This window comes from Homo sapiens, chromosome 12, assembly GCF_000001405.40.
Source record: "Homo sapiens chromosome 12, GRCh38.p14 Primary Assembly".
NCBI lineage: Eukaryota > Metazoa > Chordata > Mammalia > Primates > Hominidae > Homo > Homo sapiens.
Genome location: NC_000012.12, coordinates 2,204,579 through 2,223,575, shown reverse-complemented (window position 1 = coordinate 2,223,575; position 18,997 = coordinate 2,204,579). Strand labels below are relative to the sequence as shown.

The 18,997-nt window shown below is 45.8% G+C and overlaps 1 protein-coding gene and 1 long non-coding RNA gene across 56 annotated transcripts in view, besides 1 other annotated feature; one reads left to right on the top strand and one right to left on the bottom strand.

The window, feature by feature from the left end:
- Positions 1-18,997, bottom strand: part of CACNA1C (calcium voltage-gated channel subunit alpha1 C) — a 727,171-nt gene that overhangs the window by 474,375 nt on the left and 233,799 nt on the right. The window lies entirely within an intron of this gene.
- Positions 95-3,039, top strand: CACNA1C-AS4 (CACNA1C antisense RNA 4). The gene is made up of 4 exons (NR_046578.1): positions 95-211; positions 1,156-1,376; positions 1,881-1,961; positions 2,722-3,039. It is a non-coding gene; the product is annotated as a CACNA1C antisense RNA 4 (long non-coding RNA).
- Positions 4,653-4,847: a silencer, noted in NCBI's record as "fragment chr12:2327895-2328089 (GRCh37/hg19 assembly coordinates)". NCBI's record gives its function as "represses an EF-1alpha promoter that drives an FKBP-Casp9 reporter gene in an ReSE screen in K562 erythroleukemia cells {active_cell/tissue: K562}" and the evidence as "EXISTENCE:reporter gene assay evidence [ECO:0000049][PMID:32094911]".

Sequence of the window (18,997 nt, the reverse complement as noted above, 5' to 3'; positions counted from 1 at the left end):
TGGGTCTGTAGGGTCATCCACCACAGGAAGGACGATGAATGTTACATCACAAGGAACCCACTATTGACACACTTAATCAGCAGCTATGGGGCCCTTATTCAAAATGGCCAGGTTAGGGTCCTCTTCTTAGGATCAGAAGGCACTACTGACCACCAGCATTCTTTCCAACCAGGCAGTTCCATCCAGGAACAGGTATCCTTGTTGGTAACTGGTATGTGCTATATTTTCTACACCTCAATGGAGCTGGGAGTCCCCAAGAAATAAACCTCTGCAGTTGGTTAGACCTGGCTGCTTCATCTCCCTTTACCCAAAAATCCCAGCTGAAAACAGGGGCTCAAACCCTTATGTTTGGACCCATTCACCACACAGCTTCTTTTTGGAGGTGTGACTCCCCAGTAAGACATTCCGATGCAGACAACATTGTCCAGTATGCTATGAGTCTTGCAGAGCCAAGTAGGATATCCCTGTCCTTGAACAATCAAGGATTTAAAAATTAAGTGCCTGCTGAGCTGTTCATCAGCATTTATGTGCGTGTCCATTCCAGTATGTAAAGATTGTGACATTTCAGATCCCAGTGTTTAGGGTCCATTAAAAAGCAAATGTCTCCTTTAAATGGAGAGGTAGTGCATTTCTCCTTTGTCCTTATTCCAATGGGCACCTCCCTCTGCTCAACTCCTTTGCAGGTTCATTTCCAATAGGTTTATGTAACAGAACAGCTGAACCATGTATCAAAGGGGCTCTGGGTGTGGCTGCTGAAGCAGCATTTCACTTACAGTTTTCCAGTGAATGAGAAAGCACTCCTCACTTGAGAGCCGCCTGCCACTCAGGACAACTCATTGTCCCTCATGTTCAGATTGCTCACTTAATTCAGGGCTTGGGATCAGACGTGAGCTGGCCATTTGGTTGCATGAGATGTACACCAGGCAAAGGTGTACTAAAGGGCACGACAGGGTACCATAAATGATCCATCCAAAAATCTATTGGTGCCCATAGTCACGTCCATGTCAAAGACTTGGGCCCTGAAATATTAATATTTACATTGTGGTTTTCCTCTTACAAAATATTTTCTAATTCCCTATCACTGAATCCTCACAACTCCGTGAAAGCATTATTCTTGTTCTTGTTATCACCATTCATTCCCACTGCAAATTGAAGCAGCCAAGAGTCTGTGCATTAGAGGTTAAGCGTCGTGTTCAAGATCACAAAGCCAGTGAATGGCTGAGCTGGGACTCCAACTCCAAGTCTTCTGACTCAAATCCAGTGACTTACTCAACACAAACTTTCTGAATACAAATGGTTGTCCTATGTATGGCAGTGTATTAAGAAGGGCCACCAGCCCACTGATTTATTCACTTTTCAGTTTATACTTGGACATGGTAAGACATCACAAGTTTTTTCAAATAACAGGGCTTTTTTTAAGTTTTTATTTCAAATGTTTATGTTAGAAAATTTAGAAGAATCATAAATAGAGAATGAAATAAAATAATTTGTAATTTTGTTCCCTGAATTGGCTTATCATTAACACTCTAATGTATACCTATTATACCTTCCAGGGTATAGTATATCCTGTCTACACTCATATGAGATGTAAATAGAGGTTATATATCTTATAAAATTTGGGATCATATTGTAGATAACTTTCTATGTTTGTTCATTTAGCAGTGCAGTTGAACATCTTTATGTGCCATTAACTGTCCTTCTAGGTTATCATTTGAATGGCTACATGGTGTTCCATCATATGGACGCATCCTAACTTAGTTACCCAGCCCTCTGGTGATTAATAGAGGAGAGAAATTATCCCAGGTTTAGCTCCATTACAAATAAGACTACAATGAACACACTTGTAAGTAATCCTTGTGTATTTCTGACTGTTTCTGTAGGATAAAATCCTATGGACTTGCTGAACCAAAAGAAATGAGCATTTTGAAGCCTTTGAACATTTTGTCAAATGACCCTCCAAGGTGAGTGGAACTTCTGCACTGCCATCAGCTGTATCTAAAAATGTCCAACTTCCCAACACTCTTGACAAGACTTTCACTGTTGATGTTTATTCTGAACAAACTGCCTGGCATCCTTTGAGGCCTCCTTGCCCAACTGCCCAGCAGGCCCTGGCAACTCTGCCTCCCAGGCACTTGCATTCATCCCACTGGCCAAATTCTGTCCATTCATCTCACCTCCACTGCTGGCACCTGGTCCCAGCCTCTATTCTCCTACCCAACTGGCCTCCCAACCAGTTTCTCATTCCCTCCCAACTCCCTTTTCTAATCCACAGGCAGAATGATGGTATTCTAAAAATAAAAAAGACACGTCACCCTCCCTACCAGTCATGATCTAGCACTCCCTCTCCCCACACCGCCAACCCTTTGACCAGTTCACCTGCACCCGCCTGGTCATTCACTGTGTGCCAGCCTTGCTCTTCTGTTTCTGACACATGCCAAGGTTGTCCTGCCTCTGGGCCTTTGTACTTGCTATGCCATCCCCCGGAAGGCTCTTCCTCTCTTTCTTTGCAAGCCTAGCTCCTTCTTGTCTTCCAGGTCCCAGAGGGGACCTCCCTGACCAACAGCTTAAAGTAACCCCCACCCACAGTCATGTTACCACAAAACTCTGCTTGTTTCTCTTTGATTTCTTTTTCATAGCACCTACCATAATATGAAGCTCTCTCATTTATTTGCTTACATCTTAAATTTTCTCTCTCTTCTCTTCTTGCCCTCATATGCACAGAGAATGTAAACTCTCGCTCAGCGCCAAGCACAGCATCATCAGTGCCTGTCAAAGTGCCTCGCATATAGTTCATCCTCGATAAATACATGTTGAATAGATGAATGCACAGGAAAAAGGAAATAATTTTAGTATTGCGCTAACCAAGCATAATACTCAAGCTAAAACTAATGTAAAACTTACCACCAGCTGCCTTCCGGAAACAAGTGAAAAAAGACAAGAGACACCACAAACAATGGTGAGTCAAGACTGGTCAGTAACTACAGATCCCAAAGCTCCAGCTGAAGATGGCTCTCCTACATCAGACTGATCTAGGAGAACCCAACCTAGTATCAGCACCCCTTCACACCTAGTATCAGCACCCCTTCACACCTAGTATCAGCACCCCTTCACATCTAGTGTCAGCACCTCTTCACACCAAATATCAGCACCCCCTGTCTCATGGGAGGGCAGAGGTAATGCTTGTACCAGTTCCCCATGCCTGAGCCTTACCAGGGAGCCAGCACTGTAGCTGGTGTATCACATGCGTTAGCATGCACAGGCCTCACAACTCTGCAGTATCATCATTCCCACTCTTACAGATAATGAAACTGAGGTTCAGAGAGCTATGGATTAAGCTCAGCTCAAAGGAGTTGAGCAGAGGGAGCTTTGAATTGTGTCAGTATTCCAGCACATATCTATCTGACTCTATATACATGCTTTCTGTACAATTGCCCAGGGACCCCACAGCACTGCCAGTTGGAGAACAGGGGAGCCCAGATGCTGGTCCCTGACCACTTCCACCGTCTTGTGCTGATTCTGGATGCAGGATGCAAAGAACCATTTCCCTCAGCATCTGAGGAGGAGGAAATCCTTTCTATCATGGAAAGCAGCTTGGGTTCTCATGACAAATTCAATGTCAGAGAGCTGAACCAACATCATAGAGTGCTCTTCAAGGAAAGCCTCCCTCCTGGGCCCTCCACTGCCTAGGTCACCAGGCCTCCAGACTCCAGGCCTCCAGATCCCAGGCCAAAAGGCTGCTTGTATTTCCTTACTCTCCCAGGGCCTCTCCTGATACCTGGCCTCTGAAATTCTTTCCACATATAAGGGTGCACTCAGTGTTCGTGAAAGCAAGTGTTTCCAGGGTTTCAGATGCTCCACAGAGAAACTTTCATAGTCATTCAAAAAGATTAGCTTTTCTCTCTAATTCACATCATCACCAAGGAATAAAGCCTCACAGGTTACGGGCTGGAGCTTCTTCCTCTGAGGGTCTAACAGGAAAAGCTGGACAAGGATATATTTGTTCTTTTCTACTTACAGCCCGAAAGAGTGGCACAGTCCCCAAAAATACTTCATTCTGTAGTTTTTTTAAATAAATGGACAAAAAAATAAAACACTTGGTTTCTAGATGGCCAGGTAAAATAAGAAAAGAGCATTTCCAGGGTTGAGTTGGCAGCCCTATCTGTTGGTCTCTCCACTTCAGTGAGGTCCTCTGAATGGTAAATGAATGAAGGCAGAAGAGGGGAGAAGAGCTTTTTCTGACCTCACACTAAAAAGTAACAGGAGTCAAGAAGGAAACAGGCAGAAGCCTGAAGGGATAGGAACAATGTGAAAAGTAAAGTAGGTCTGTGAGCTCCTTCCCCAAATCCCTGCATGGCCAGTTAGCCCAGAAATGCACCAGGGCAGAGCTCCACAAAGGGAGAGAAGCGTCCAGCAGCCATGGCGCTTATGACCATCATAAAAGGGACAGCAGTTCTGGAGATGGAACTCTACCTGGCTGATTTTTAGATCATATAGTCAGATACATATTTGTTGATCTAACTCAGCATTGGTTCATACTCAACCCTTCCCTTCCACATGTCAAGCACACAAATACACATCCCAGATTTACAAACTGACAGTTTCCCATTCCTGTGCCGAATGCCTTGGCTTAACTTGAAAGGCATTTCAGAGGCTGAACTACTGAGACAGATTCAACGCATACAGTGACACTCAGGCTGCTAGATACTGACTAGTCAACCGTTGGCCAGCAGCTGCCAGATGCTTAAAAACCACACTGAAATGATCAGACCCCTACGTGCAACCTGCAACTGATCTGAGAACCTCCCTGTTTTGTATTTTCTGTTGTTCTAACAAAAAAAGGATCTTCTTAAATCTATTTCACGTATTACAGTAGCCCGGACATCAAATGTTTCCCAGAGTGAAATTAAATATAGCATTTTATTTGGAACAAGCCATCCTAACTCAATTTCCCTCCCCAGCATTGCCACAGAGAGACCTTCCATTTGGCAGCTGAAAGATGCGCTGAGCTCTAGGCTGGACGTAGGACTTCTTTCCACGCTCTTGGTAATGCATCTGCTTCCTCTGCCCCAGTACAAGCACTACAGGAATAAAAAAGGGAGTTTTGCCCCTCTGCCCCTATGCACTGCCTTTAGGGAAAAATATCCCTGTCTTTCCAGCACACCCTATCCAAACTCCTGCAGAATATGGTGCTGCACCAGCAGAAATTTTCTTCCTGAAGAAAAGTCAATGAGTTTGCCATAAAGCAGGTTTCTCTCTTTGGAGGGAGCCGGTCATATCTGGGATATTGTTGCATGTTGTTGATGATTAACCTGCAGGAGACGCGTTGTCAATAAACATTTACTGGACATCCACTGAGGGCCCTGCATCTCAGGGAGTGAGAGGCTACGGAGAGGCAAAGGATGCTAGAGTAGGGACGTGGGAGGAGCCCAGAGACCCCAAAACCCAATGTGTTCACTTTGTAAATGTAGTAACAGAGACCGAGAAAGAATCTGGTGTTGCCAAGGTCACAGCACCATGTGGCAGCCCTGGCGACTTCCTGAATCTCAGATCAGGGCTTCTCCGAAGCTCTCTCCTAAGTTAGACGGGTAGAAGTGGAGACTGAATATCTATCTCAAGTACGTAAAAGTGTCCGTGGAAGTCTCCGGTGACTCTGCAGTTACAGCTCCCATTTCCCGACGGCCTGAGCAGGGACCTGGCACCTAAGTTATCTTTAACTTCCCAAACAAGTCTGAAATAAGGACACTTAGGCTCAGAATGAGGCCCAAGGTCACACCGATCGTGAACATGACAGGTGCAAATTTGAACCCAGTAGTGTCTGATTCCAAAGCTGAATATACGGATATGTTAGGATGCCCACCTACTATGTCACCTCACTTACTCCACCCTTGAGATGGAACCATCTCTGTCAAGAAATAAGGATTAAACCAAATCAAGTACAAATGAAAACCCAGACTGCAAGCCATCATAGAAAGTAAGATTCAATGTGTGTATGTATTTGCATGATTAAGCACATGCAGAGAAAGAATACATCTAGATATCAAGTGGTAATTTTGAAATTTTCTCCTTTATACATTTCTGTTTTTCTCAAATATTAAAATAGATGATTCTTATTAATCTGAAATTAATTTTTTAGGTTGTGGTAAAATATATACATGTAACATAAATTTTACAATCTTAACCATTTTTAAGTGTACAATTTAGTAGCATTAAAAACATTTACATTGTTGTTTAACCATCACCTCCATCCATCTCCAGAACACTTTGCTATTCCTGAAAATCTGAAATCCTGAACCCATTAAACAACAGCTCCGCACTTCCCCCTGCACCAGCCCCTGGCAACCACCATTCTACTTCTGTCTCTATAAATTTGTCTATTCTGGGTACCTCACATAAGTGGAATCATACCATATTTCTCCTTTTGTGTCTGGCTTATTTTATTTAGCATAATGTTCTCAAGGTTCATCCATGTTGTAGCATGTATCAGGATCTCCTTCCTTTTTAAGGCCGAATGATATTCCACTGTATGTATATACCACATCCTGTTTATCCATTTATCCACGAATGAATACTTGGATTGCATCTGCTTTTTGGCCATTACAAATAATGTTGATATGAACATGGGCAAACAAATATTTCCAAAAGCCCCTAGACTTTTTAAATCCTGGAGTATACTTTTAGAATGTGCCGCTGTGAATTAAAATCAGGATATGCTTTCTATTGGTCTCAGCCTGGAAAACAGCAAATTCTGTGCTGGAGTCTACACATTTTGCCTTCTGTCTTTAAACACCTCTAAACCAGTGGTTCTCAACCCTGGCTGCCTATTAGAATCACCTGGGGGTGCTTTCAAAAAATACTGATGTCCCAGCCCTATGAAGGCCACTGAATCAGAACTCCTCTGAGTTGAGGCAGAGGAATTGAGTATTTTTAAAAGGCTGCCCAGATTATTCTACTGTACAGACAAGAGTAAGAATCAGTGTCCTGAAGCCTCTTCTTCTGGGGGGCCCTTCTCTTTATTTAAGAAAACTCTGCCTTATGAGTAATTCCTCTTCTTTCCTCCCATCAAAACCCAGGAGGGTTTGATAACCAGTCAATTGCCCTAGTTGTTTGACTGATTGCATTCCAACTGAAACATTCGCTCCACGGCCTTACCTCCTCCAGTTGAAGCCTTTTATCTCTAATTGTGGACTGCGTGCCTGCTTCTTTCTTGGAAGGAATGTTGATATGAGTAAGCAGTTAGGGAAGTATTTCTAGGCCTACTCAGTCCTTCAGGTAATTATAATCTAGTCCTTTCAAGGCAGTAGGGACAATAAGAGGGGCCAGAAGATGTGGTCCCAGTCCATATCCAGTGCCCGACTGAGGCACTGAGCCAGCTCAAGAGGCCCCTCCCCATCCTCACATTTCATCCCTAAGCCCTGGCCTCCCCTCGCTCTTGCCCAAGACTCCCAGCTAGTTAATTGGCGTGCCCCAGGGACCTCTGGTGGTTTTGCCCAGTTCTGTCTTTGCTAATTTTCTTTTGTGATGGGGTTCCTTCCTCTAACACCCTAGGACACATCTCTGCTGAGTGTGCTTTCTCTCTGGTTCTTGTGTTCTTGACAACAGAGCATGTCAACTGATGGGCGGCATGGTGACTTCGAGAACAGGATGAGTTCCCAGCATCTTTGTCAGAAATTTCACAACCACGGCTGATGTCACACTGGTGGCAGCAGGGCGTGTTCTAGGACACAGATTCGCCATCAGCTGCTCCCCAGGCAGGCAGGCCTGGGGCTCCAGGGCCCTTCAACTCACCTTGGGGCTCTTCTGCCTCTTTGCAAAGAGCCCTCCAAACAGGGTACTGGAAGCTGAAGCCATGGCAGCAGCTCCAAGGACTGGCCTGTTTGGGAGAGAACATGGTCCTTCCCTCTGCCAGGCCTACCCTGGAGCCTGTCCCTGAAGGGCTGGGACATCCTGATCCTCCACAGGGGACTGGCTGCAGTGCCCCTTTATGTCCATGTGCAATGCTGATGTAAAAGTGTTAACGGTGTGGGGGACAGGGACTGTGGTAGGAGCTCTGAGGAAAGACAGAGCATGAGCTGGAGGAATCAGGCCCCGAGGAAGGAGAGGAACCAAGCCTAGGAGGAGGGAGAGCGCATCCCACCCAGAGGAACAGGCCCCACTCAGAACCCTTTTGCCCTCACAGGCATGCTGGGCCCTGCAAGCTGGCAAGCCATCAGGGTAACAGAGCCCTCAGCACCACCACCTGATCCACTGACCAGGATCCATCCTAGCAAGTGGGCAAGCTCGCAGAAAGGGAATGATGAGGAAGTGCAAAGGACAAGGAAAATGAAGACTGAAGCCCCACTGAATGCAACAGAACACCCACAAATAGCAGATTAAATCCAAGCAAAGGGACTCAGATTGACATGTCTCTGATGTCTCAGTGACCAGGGAACCCCAGATATGCCGGCAAACATGGCTTCGTTTCCCCATCTCATGCAGCACACGTTTGCTGAGCCCTCCGACACACCCGCTGCAATGCAGGTCCTCACTGCCTCCGGCTCCTCCCGACTTCACACCCATGAGGTGCTCCAGTCCAAACCCAGAGAGAGCCCCTGTGCCTCGCTGGGGGAAAGGGGACGTGGGGAGAAGACACTGAACACTCCTCTTCTCTCTTCTTGAGTACCTCTTTTGGCGGGGATGAGACATGGCTGCACATTTTCTAGATAAAGAAGCAGAAGCATAGACTAGAAGGGATGGGGTCAAAGGAACCTCACATGTCCATCAACCATGTGCGCTAACTAGAAGTGTCTGCCTGTGAATGAGTGCTGGGCCTACAGGGAAGACAGGAAGGGGGCTGGCGGTGACACCTCTTATCCAAGGAGTGCAAGGTCCTCAGGCACACTCCTGGGGTCCCGGGCCCACCTCCCCGGAGCAGGGAGAAGTCACTGAGGGCATACAGGGCCATCCCCTTCAGGCTCACCTTGCAATGTGCAGTGTGGTGACTCAGGGCACGCCTAGGCTTCATGTTGCTTCCAGCGACCTTGGCAGTTGCTCAACCTCTCCATGCTTCAGTTTCCTTCTTTGTAATTCAAGAATAATAGTCCTAGTTCACGAGATCAGTGTGAAGACTGAATAATGACCACACGTAGTAAGAACTAAGATTTATTGAACCATGATTTTATTATAAGCCCCGGACACATATGTATCTGGTTGGAGTCCTGCAATGACACTCTGAGGTAGGTACTATTACTATCCTTATTTACAAGTGAGAAGTGGAGTCACAGAGGGGTCGAGCAAGTTACCCACATCATAGAAATGGTGAGCAGGAGCCCAGAGCACTTCACATGAACCCCTCCTCAGCAGCGCCAACTTAAGGACCATCCAATTTCAGATATGCGCTGCTTTAGAGATGGACAAACTGAGGCACAAGGAGGCTGGAGCAGACTCTGCCTGCTCTTCCTCACAATTATTGTAATGCTGCAAAGGCACCCTTGAGGGACAGATGTCAGAGAAGCAAGACAAGAAGCTATGGTGGTGTTACTGACTCTCAGCCTAAGAGCTGAAGGTGCAGGTCTTCCCTCCCCAATGTGAGCGCCAGTTCCAGCCACAAATCTCCTCTCCCAAACTCGCGATTCAGCCCTGCTGATCAACTGCAGAGAAGGTGCTGTAAAAACCGGCTCAAATCTTGAGGTGCCCTAGACATGAGAAAATGGGCTACAGCTACCGCTTAAAAATGTGGACGGATGGACTGCGGGAGGAGGGGCAGTGCGAGAGCAGCAGCCCATCCGTGAAGAGAGGAGAAGCTGGGAATGTGTAAGCAGAGCCATAAATCCCTTGTCAACGCTGCCTCCGTGCCTTCCCTCTGTGGACGGGGCCCGGGGCCTGGGAGGCCTGCAGAGGGGAAGGAAGCCTAGCGTTTAGCCTCTGATGGCCAGAAAGATAGCTCCACACGGTGTCTGTCAGAGCACCAGGAGAGCAGACACACTGAGAGTTTCACTCATTAACATCGGTGTTGCCATGACAATAAGCTGTTGCCAGGTAGCAGCGAACTAGGAGAAGAGTGAGAATTAGCAAAGCCTAAAAATAAAGCTGTTATGTTTCTTCCCCCGTCTAGATGTCCATGTGTAACAGGCAATAATCTCGCCGCCTCCTCCTCACCCCAGCCCTGGAAGACCACATGGGACAGACAGGGCCCTGCACAGAAGGGGAAGGTCACCTCTCCAAGGGAGGCAGAGAAAATAGTACCCGAAGATAGTGGTGGCCAAAATCTGAAGGCCAGCAACAAGCAGCACCAGAGAAAGCTCAAAGTAAAAAAATCCCTGGGAGGGATTTTTCCTTCCCTTAGGAAGTAGCTGACCTGAAGCGTTAACCTCAGTTCCAGATTGGAGCAGGGCCCTTCCAGGCTGTCAGATGCCCGTCCAGCTCCTTGGCTCTGAAAGAATGGGAAATGGCAGGCGCTGGCTCCTGACTGACTTTTCTCCTGGAAAATATTTAGCCGGGCCCCAGCCCCAGAGGCATCTGTGGGAGTCAGGAGCCTAGACTGGGCACATGGGCAGTTCCTGGTTGCTTTTATAAGCATGCTACCGCCAGAGGAGCCACTGTGATAACAATTCCAAACAAGAGGATATTTTAACAATCAACATCACTGAGCAATGTGTTAATATCTCCAAGGGACATGCAATAGAATTATTTTCAGGATCTTCCAGTTTGGCTCTGATGTCAGAGGAGAAAATGCATGGTGTCCAGTTCTGTGCTTCCTTTGTCCATCCCTCCCACCAGACTGTAAGCTCCATGAAGGCAGAAACCATGTCTAACTAGTCACCCTCATGACCGCAGCACCTGCTGTCACACCAGACACTTAGTCAGTGTGCAATAAATACACAGAGGAAAGAGGAAGTGGGGAAGGGGCAACTGACTCAATCATAACAGAGTCAACATTCTAGATAAAACAGTAAATATATTAACAGTAAAAATACCTGGCCTAAATAAAATACATACCTTTCTAAAATTATAAGCTCTGCATTCTAAGGACTGAATCCTATTCCTGATCTAACTCTCTATTCTCAAAAAATAAGTTAGCAAGTATGCAGGTGTCATGCTTTAAGCAGATCAGATTAGTTGAAATCCAGAATTTTGGGGCAATGATTTCCTTTATAAGCAACCGTAAGATTTCCTCAAACACAGAACCTGCATGATCTCTCTAAAGTAAAATTGTTTAATTCAGATAATATGTAATAATCTGGATCTATACATTGAATGAAGCTAGCGGCAACCACTGGATTCCCGGTTTCTTTCCTTGCAACCACACTTACCTTTGAGTTCTCTCTACCACAGGCTGATGAGTGCTCAGGAAATGTAAACAGTGGCTAATTTTGCTATCAGTGCAAGAAACACACATTTAGGAAACAAAATTCATTCTTTGTTTCACCATCACCCCATAAAAACATATAACCTGGAACAAAATATTAATAATTTCTTGGTTCTTTAACTGCTCTGGATTACCCAGCCATTGATCCAAATACCAGCTCCTGCCTCTAGGCCTCCAAGCTTGTGTAAATAACGTAAAGGTAGCAGAAAGAGGCCGGGCGCGGTGGCTCATGCCTATAATCCCAGCACGTTGGGAGGCTGAGGCGGGTGGATCACCTGAGGTCAGGAGTTCAAGACCAGCCTGGCCAACATGGTGAAACCCCATCTCTACTAAAAATACAAAAAAATTAGCCGGGAGTGGTGGTGGGCGCCTGGAGTCCCAGCTACTCGGGAGGCTGAGGCAGGAGAATCGCTTGAACCTGGAAGGCGGAGGTTGCAGTGAGCCGAGACCATGCCATTGCACTCTAGCCTGGGAGAAAAGAGCAAGACTCTGTCTCAAAAAAAAAAAAAAAAAAAAAGCAGCAGAAAGAGTAACAGGTGAAAGAAAGGAGGAGCCAAATGACTGGGAATTTGAGGGCAAGCCCTGCTCATGTCCCCCCAAGCCCTAACCTCCAAGCAAGGCCAAACCTGCATGAATGACTTTACACTCTTAGAAGAAGGAGAGTCTGCTGGTGGGGTCCTACTGAATTAATCATAAAGATGCATAAGGCTGCTAGAGTTAAAGAGGCCTCAACAGAGGGTCATAGATTTACAAAACTACAGCAGCAACAGCTATCCAGTTTGCCTTTGGCATTGCCTCTAGAGAAGTTAGAGTCCACGGACATACTCCTTCTCTACCAACATGAGACACCCCAGACCTCTCCTGGTGAAGCCATGTGCCCACAAAACCTGACGTTCTCACCACCAGGCACAGCCTGGACCAATCCAATAAGCTGCTGGAACATGGTTACTGTGAGGTGTAAGAAAGTGGGTAGCATCCTGTAAACTACAAAATCCCAAATTAAATCTGACCTTGACCTGACTGCCTGGGAGGACTCCTAATTCAGGGAGCTCTGCCTGATTTACTGCTCTCATTGCTGACGCTGAAGGGACCTTCATGCAAACACCCACCTTGATTCCTGGGTTTTCAGTAGGGCCTTCCTTGACCACAGAACAAAGAAAAGTCAGTCCTGACACTAACTAGAGAATAGAACTCTTTTGAATGCTTTATGTTCCTTTCTGCTAAAATGCATCCCAAGAGATAGTTCCTCCATTACTATAACCATCTTGATACACATAATCCCAGCTTGCCCACCTGTATACTTTCTTCCTTCTCTGTGGCACAAAATACCAGTTATAGCTGCAGATTCAATTGGAAAGGAGTTACCAGAGAGGAGATGATACTGCACCTAGCTTCAATCTGCCCCCAAATACAGCCTCCAGAAATGTGCTGGGGTCCTGGCAGATGATCAAGAAAGGTATGTTGCATGACTGAATGACTGAATGAAAAAATTAACTTAATGCTTTTTTCTCTAATACACTTTGATCAATGAAATGTTTCTAAACTTTGAAACTGGGACCCTGTCCTCTCAGATTCTGCCAGTCTAACATTGATAATGTTTGCCTCAACTTCCAGATCATGCAGCACAAAATGTCAGTGTCAGCACAAGCACCACGTGAACTGGGTTAAAAATCCACTTATAAACTTGAGTCAACAAACCCCCCACCAATTTCCCAGACTTCAGGTTGGAGGTACCAACATCAATCCCAGGCTTCCTCCTAGGAAAGAGAAACAAGGCTAGCTATTTAAATGCTTCCAAAGAAAGAGGGCATAAGTCTTAAAGCTATTGTGATAAGCACTATCATCACATCCCACTGATGGCATGCACTGTTACAGATGCCACTGTTTCAGCCTACCCCTTCCTCAACTCCCAACTATGGAAGAGTTCATATTTTCTATCACAGCCCTGGGAAATAAAGGTCTGTGACCCTAATGAAACTGTTGAAACATAGGCATACCCCAATTCTCACTTGCCTCCCAGATGTTCTATTGCAAAAGCATTCAGATAAAAACATATCACATCAGGCTGAAGATCAGATTCCCCTCTCTGTCCTTCCTTCCTTCCTGCAACAGATACATTTGTTTTCTTACTTTGCATCTGCCATTTTTAGAAACAAGTTGAAAGTAAAATTCGAGCCTCTCCTGGAGAAAAGGATAAGCATCTCTTTCTCTCTTTCAATCTCTCTCTCTTCCCTCCTTCCTTCTCTGGCATGTGTTACTGAATTTTATATAGCTTGACTTGCTGCATCTCTGATATGAGCCACTTATATACACAACATAACCAGACACACATTTTTAAGAGTATGCAGCACTTAAAATAACTGTATCTTAAACCTTCTGATTTTAGTTGAGAATTTGATTTAGGGACTGGATGGATCTTGGCTCTTGAGGAAACAAAGCAATTACTATTTTAAAGGAATACGAACATAATCTTTAAGGAGTCCATTAACTGAAAAGTAGAGAAATCTGACTTGCTTCTTGCCCCATCAGATTCCCTTGGAAGTACAAATATCCCTCTGTGAATATTTTCCAGAGATGAGCTTTCTGAAGCTCAAGATAGTTATTTTAAACTTCAGCTCCCTAAATTGTATTTCTAAAATATAATTCGGATTCTTTATTCTTGGGTAAACAACTGGTAATAGGGCGCTGTGTGACGGTGGTACCAGTCAGTGAACCACCTTATGAAACAGCACCCCAGCTACAGAGCAGCCACGGGCGTGCCTCCCCCACTCCCTCGCTCCCTTTCACACAGATGGAGCGCCATTTGTCTTCAGAGAGCCACCAAACTTCAAGCACACTATGACTCCTCCCCGTGAGTTTCTTACTATTACAACCGTCGAACATACCCCTTCCCACTCCTTTGTTCATAAGGATTGTTGGTGTTTGTTTTACTTGGTTTTCTTTCAGACCATACTGGTTTGCAGAGGGGAGGCTTACACAGGTTTTTAGGATGATTATTGTTTTTATAAAAACAAATTCTTATAATCACATACCTCATCCAAAACCAAGACTTCACTGTGGTACTGTGTGACTCGCTGCGTCTTACTGATAGAAGTGGCAGGCATGGGAACCAGGGGGGTGATAGCTACAAGATTTCATACCAGGTGCTGCACAAACACCACCATCAGCATGGACGCTGCTGGCCGGGAGAGCTGGCGCGGGGCTCTGCGGCCCTCAGCTTTGCCATGCACAAACCCTCTATTTACTGGATGGGGGTGAGGCCCAGGGGTCTGGGGCAGGGATCACAGTGCTGGAGCACTTTGATTAGAATCATTAGAGTGGTCAGGTCACAGGTTTCTCTATTATTTCAATGTAGGGTACTTAAACCCTAAGTTAGACCCTTAGGTTACGCCAGGTGGAACACCCTCCAAGAACACAGGACTGTTGTTATTGGGTAAAATACATTTCCTGGATTGGGACAAAAGAGGATGGATAGCCTACACCTCTGGCTTCATTAGCTTACCTACCCCTGGGGTCCAATTTGGGCTGATCTTCAGCTACTGTGCATGGTAAAACATACTGGTCATTAAACAGTAAAACACTGTATGGGTTGGTAAATATCAGTGCCCTGAGTCCCTCAAATGCCACCCACCACCCAGACATCCTTCCTTAGGTCCCTGGAGCTTCCCTCCAATGCACTGCATAGCAGATTTATGCCTAGGGGACAGAGGGCTCCAGAGCCTGCCAGCTCCCTCAGCCGGCGGCATCCACTCTAACGGGCACTGCAGTGCCAGGTGTTAATAACATGGGCAGCCCTCATCAAGACCTTGCCTTAAGGCCATCTCAGCTAAGATAACTGTCCTAGCCAAAGCCACAGCAACCTCTCAGATGTGCACGTCATCTCCCCTCTCTGAGCAGTGCGTTGTCTAGCTGTTCTTCTCTTTTAGCACATTGTAACTTTTCTACCTTGAATCATGTTGTGCTGTGTGTTTTTAATGTCTTCTCATTCCTCTTAGACATAGAGAAGTTCAGGCTGGGCATCATGCTACGTTTTCCGCTTCCTTGCTTATCACTTTATACTTGGCACAGCACCTGTGCATGACAGGTACTTAAGGAACATTCATTGAGAAACTGCTAAAGTCTGAAATTCCAAGAGCCATGGCGTATGTGGTTGCTACCCATCCTCTCCAGCCCTGCCGTCCTCAAAGGTCCACTAATTTGGCTGCGTACCTCCTTGTGCTATTTGTTATGTTCCTTATATGAATGCTCCATTCTTATTGTTTGTTCTGTCTCCCTAAAAACACTATCCACGCCTTGAAGATAGGGACCATTTGTAAAAAAGGCACACATCAATAAGACTTTCCCGAAAGTCAGATGTTCTGTGGGAAACGCTAGCCAATTTCTCATGGTTTTTTTTGTTTGTTTTGTTTTTGAGACAGGGTCTGGCTCTGTCACCCAAGCTGGAATACAGTGGCACGATCTCAACTCTCAGCTCACTGCAGCCTCAACTTCCTGGGCCCAAGTAATCATCCTGTGTCAGCCTCCAGAATAAATGAGACTACAGGTGCACACCACCACACCTGACTAATTTTTTTTACTTTTTTTTGTAGAGACGAGGTGTTGCTATGTTGCCCAGGCTGGTCTCCAACTCCTGAGCTCAAGTGAGCCTCCCACCTCAGCCTCCCAAAATACTGGGATTACAGGCTTGAGCCACCGCACCTGGCCTATTTCTCATCTTTTAAATAAGAAAAATTATAATGCATTACATGTCAACTCAAAGCCAATTTCCTAAAATGTAACCAAAACACTTCATCATGTATTTCCTAAAAGTAACAAAATACAGCATAATGTCTATTATATAGTAGAACTATCACACAAACTATCACAATGAATATAACGTGCTCCTGACCTCTCCGCTTAATGTGCAGAAGCCCGTCAGCTGACTTCACACAGCCCCATGGAGGGGCCAAACAAATGACCTCTTTCTAGGAAGACTGTCAGCCAGAAAAAGGGAAGGGAAGAGTCCAGGTGTGTCATGGGTCGGGAAAGCAGCCTGGTCTATCCCCCAAATCCTGGCTCTGCAAATCCTCCAACACATGTAGCCAAGATGCCTTGCCTTGGGAAGGGAAAGATGCTCCTCGAATGTGGTCCTGGGGCCCAGACACATCCCCAAAGCAAGTCCCCTTTATTGACACTCGACGGGCTCTACACAACACCCACAAGAGATTCCCACATTCTATCAACTGTACTTGAAATGTAACTCAAGACTTTTCACTAAAATGTTATATTGCATTTGGAGGCTGTAAATATAATTTCCTATATAAACAGCAGCTTAAAATCATTTTATTAAAATATGTGTATAAAATACGAAGCATGGGTATTAAAAATCCAAAATGTATTCTCCCAGGAACACATTCATGTGGGAGATGGTCTGCAGGATAAATCTGTGCTCCTAAATCTTCACCACCCTTCACACAACAATGGGTCCATTACATGCATATAATATGCACCTATGGACTACCTAGTTAGTAGATGTGACAGCTGACAGAATAAATTAGACTAGATTGGAGAGCAAGAGAAATTTAAAACTGGCCACGCTGGCTATTCAAGAGAGAAAAGGAACAAAGAACAAACACTCATTGGACAGTGAGTAGGTAGGGAGGTGGGTACACACATCATCTCATTGAATATTCATGACAACTCAAAGAGGGCAGTGTTACTAGCCCCATTTTGCAGATAAAAATGCTGAGTCTCAGACTGGATAAGTGACTTGGCCAAAAGCTACATAACTACTCAGCGGTGAAATCTAGAATCAAATGCAGGTTCCATTCCAAAGCCCAAGCTCTTTCCACATCTCACAGTGCCTCCTCTCGGATCCGAAGCAGCCTCCACTTCCCATGCTCTGCCATTCTCCCAACCCTCAGAGTCTCATCTGCTTTTTTAAAATACTACTCTGCACTTCTGAAAATACAAATCCACATTTCATAAGTCATCAACTGGCCTTCTTCCCTCTGGATCTCCTTCCAAGGGCTGGGTTGTAAGTCTCCTGGAGCTCCTTAGAAGGGCCGGATCTCAAGCAGGCTCCCAGGATGCTGCAGACACGGTTTACGCGGAGCCATCCCAGGTCTGTCCAGCTCGCCCTCCCCCTCCCTAAACACTCCTCAAATCAGGGTAATTCCCACTGCACAGTCCATGTACATGGTGACAGACTGAATGTGTCCCCCCAAATTCCTATGCTGAAATCCTAGCCCCCAGTGTGATGATATTGGGGGAGGGGCTTTCGTAGGCAATTAGGTCATGGGGCAGAGCACTCACGAATGAGATTAACACTCTTAGAGACTCCAGAGAGCTCCCTCGCCCCTTCCACTATATGAGGACACAGTGAGGAGACAAATGTCCACGAGCCAGGAAGAAGGCCCTCACCAGACACCAAATCTGCTGGCACCTTGATCCTGGGGCTGCCCAGCCTCCAGGTCTGTGAGAAATACATTTCCGTCTTTGTAGTCCCCCCACTGCGGTATTTTGTTATAGGAGCCTGAGCAAACTAAGATGACCCCAAACCTTCTGCCTACTTCCTACTCTAAAAACTCAGCCGGAGAGGATGCTACTGCCACTGTTTATTCATTCTGCAGCTACTAAGATGCCAGCACTTGCAATGCACAGGACCCCAACTCATGCAGTTTACCATCTACTGGGGGTGACAGATAATAAACATATAAATAAATATAGAATTACACATTGTTTTCAGTGCTATAGGAGCCAAGAGCACCACAGGGCAAGATGAAAGGTTAAGGTGATTTAGAATAGGAGTCTAAAGCAGACTTTTCACATTAAGTGACACATAATGAGACCCGAAGAGAAAGCCAAATTAAGAGTGAGTGCCTCTGGGCAGTCCCCCTCCTCCCTGTACCCAGGCTACATGCCCTGCCCCCACCAGCCAAGCCCCACAGCCAAGTGTGGACACCTGGCCTCTCAGGACTGGTTCAGGTCACGCTGCACCTCCACACACTGGCTTTCCCAGTGTAACGTGCAGAAGTCTGTTGCCTAGTTTCACCCAGCCCTTCAGAAGTGCCCGAATACATGGCTTCCTTCTAGAAAGTCTGGCAACCAGGAAAGGGAAGGAGGAATGTCAGGGCCCTGGGACTGCTGTGGGTGGAAGAGCTCACTGGCTTTGCAGAGCCTCCCACACATGTGGCCAAGACCCTCTCCCTGGGAAGGGAGGAGGTTCTTTGGGGAGGAACGTGAGCATGAGGGAATGAGTATCTAAGAGGTTTTTTTTTTGTTTTTGTTTTTTTTAATTAATTTATTTTTTTTTATTAAAGTTTTAGGGTACATGTGCACATTGTGCAGGTTAGTTACATATGTATACATGTGCCATGCTGGTGCGCTGCACCCACTAACTCATCATCTAGCATTAGGTATATCTCCCAATGCTATCCCTCCCCCCTCCCCCAACCCCACCACAGTCCCCAGAGTGTGATATTCCCCTTCCTGTGTCCATGTGATCTCACTGTTCAATTCCCACCTATGAGTGAGAATATGCAGTGTTTAGTTTTTTGTTCTTGTGATAGTTTACTGAGAATGATGATTTCCAATTTCATCCATGTCCCTACAAAGGACACGAACTCATCATTTTTTATGGCTGCATAGTATTCCATGATGTATATGTGCCAC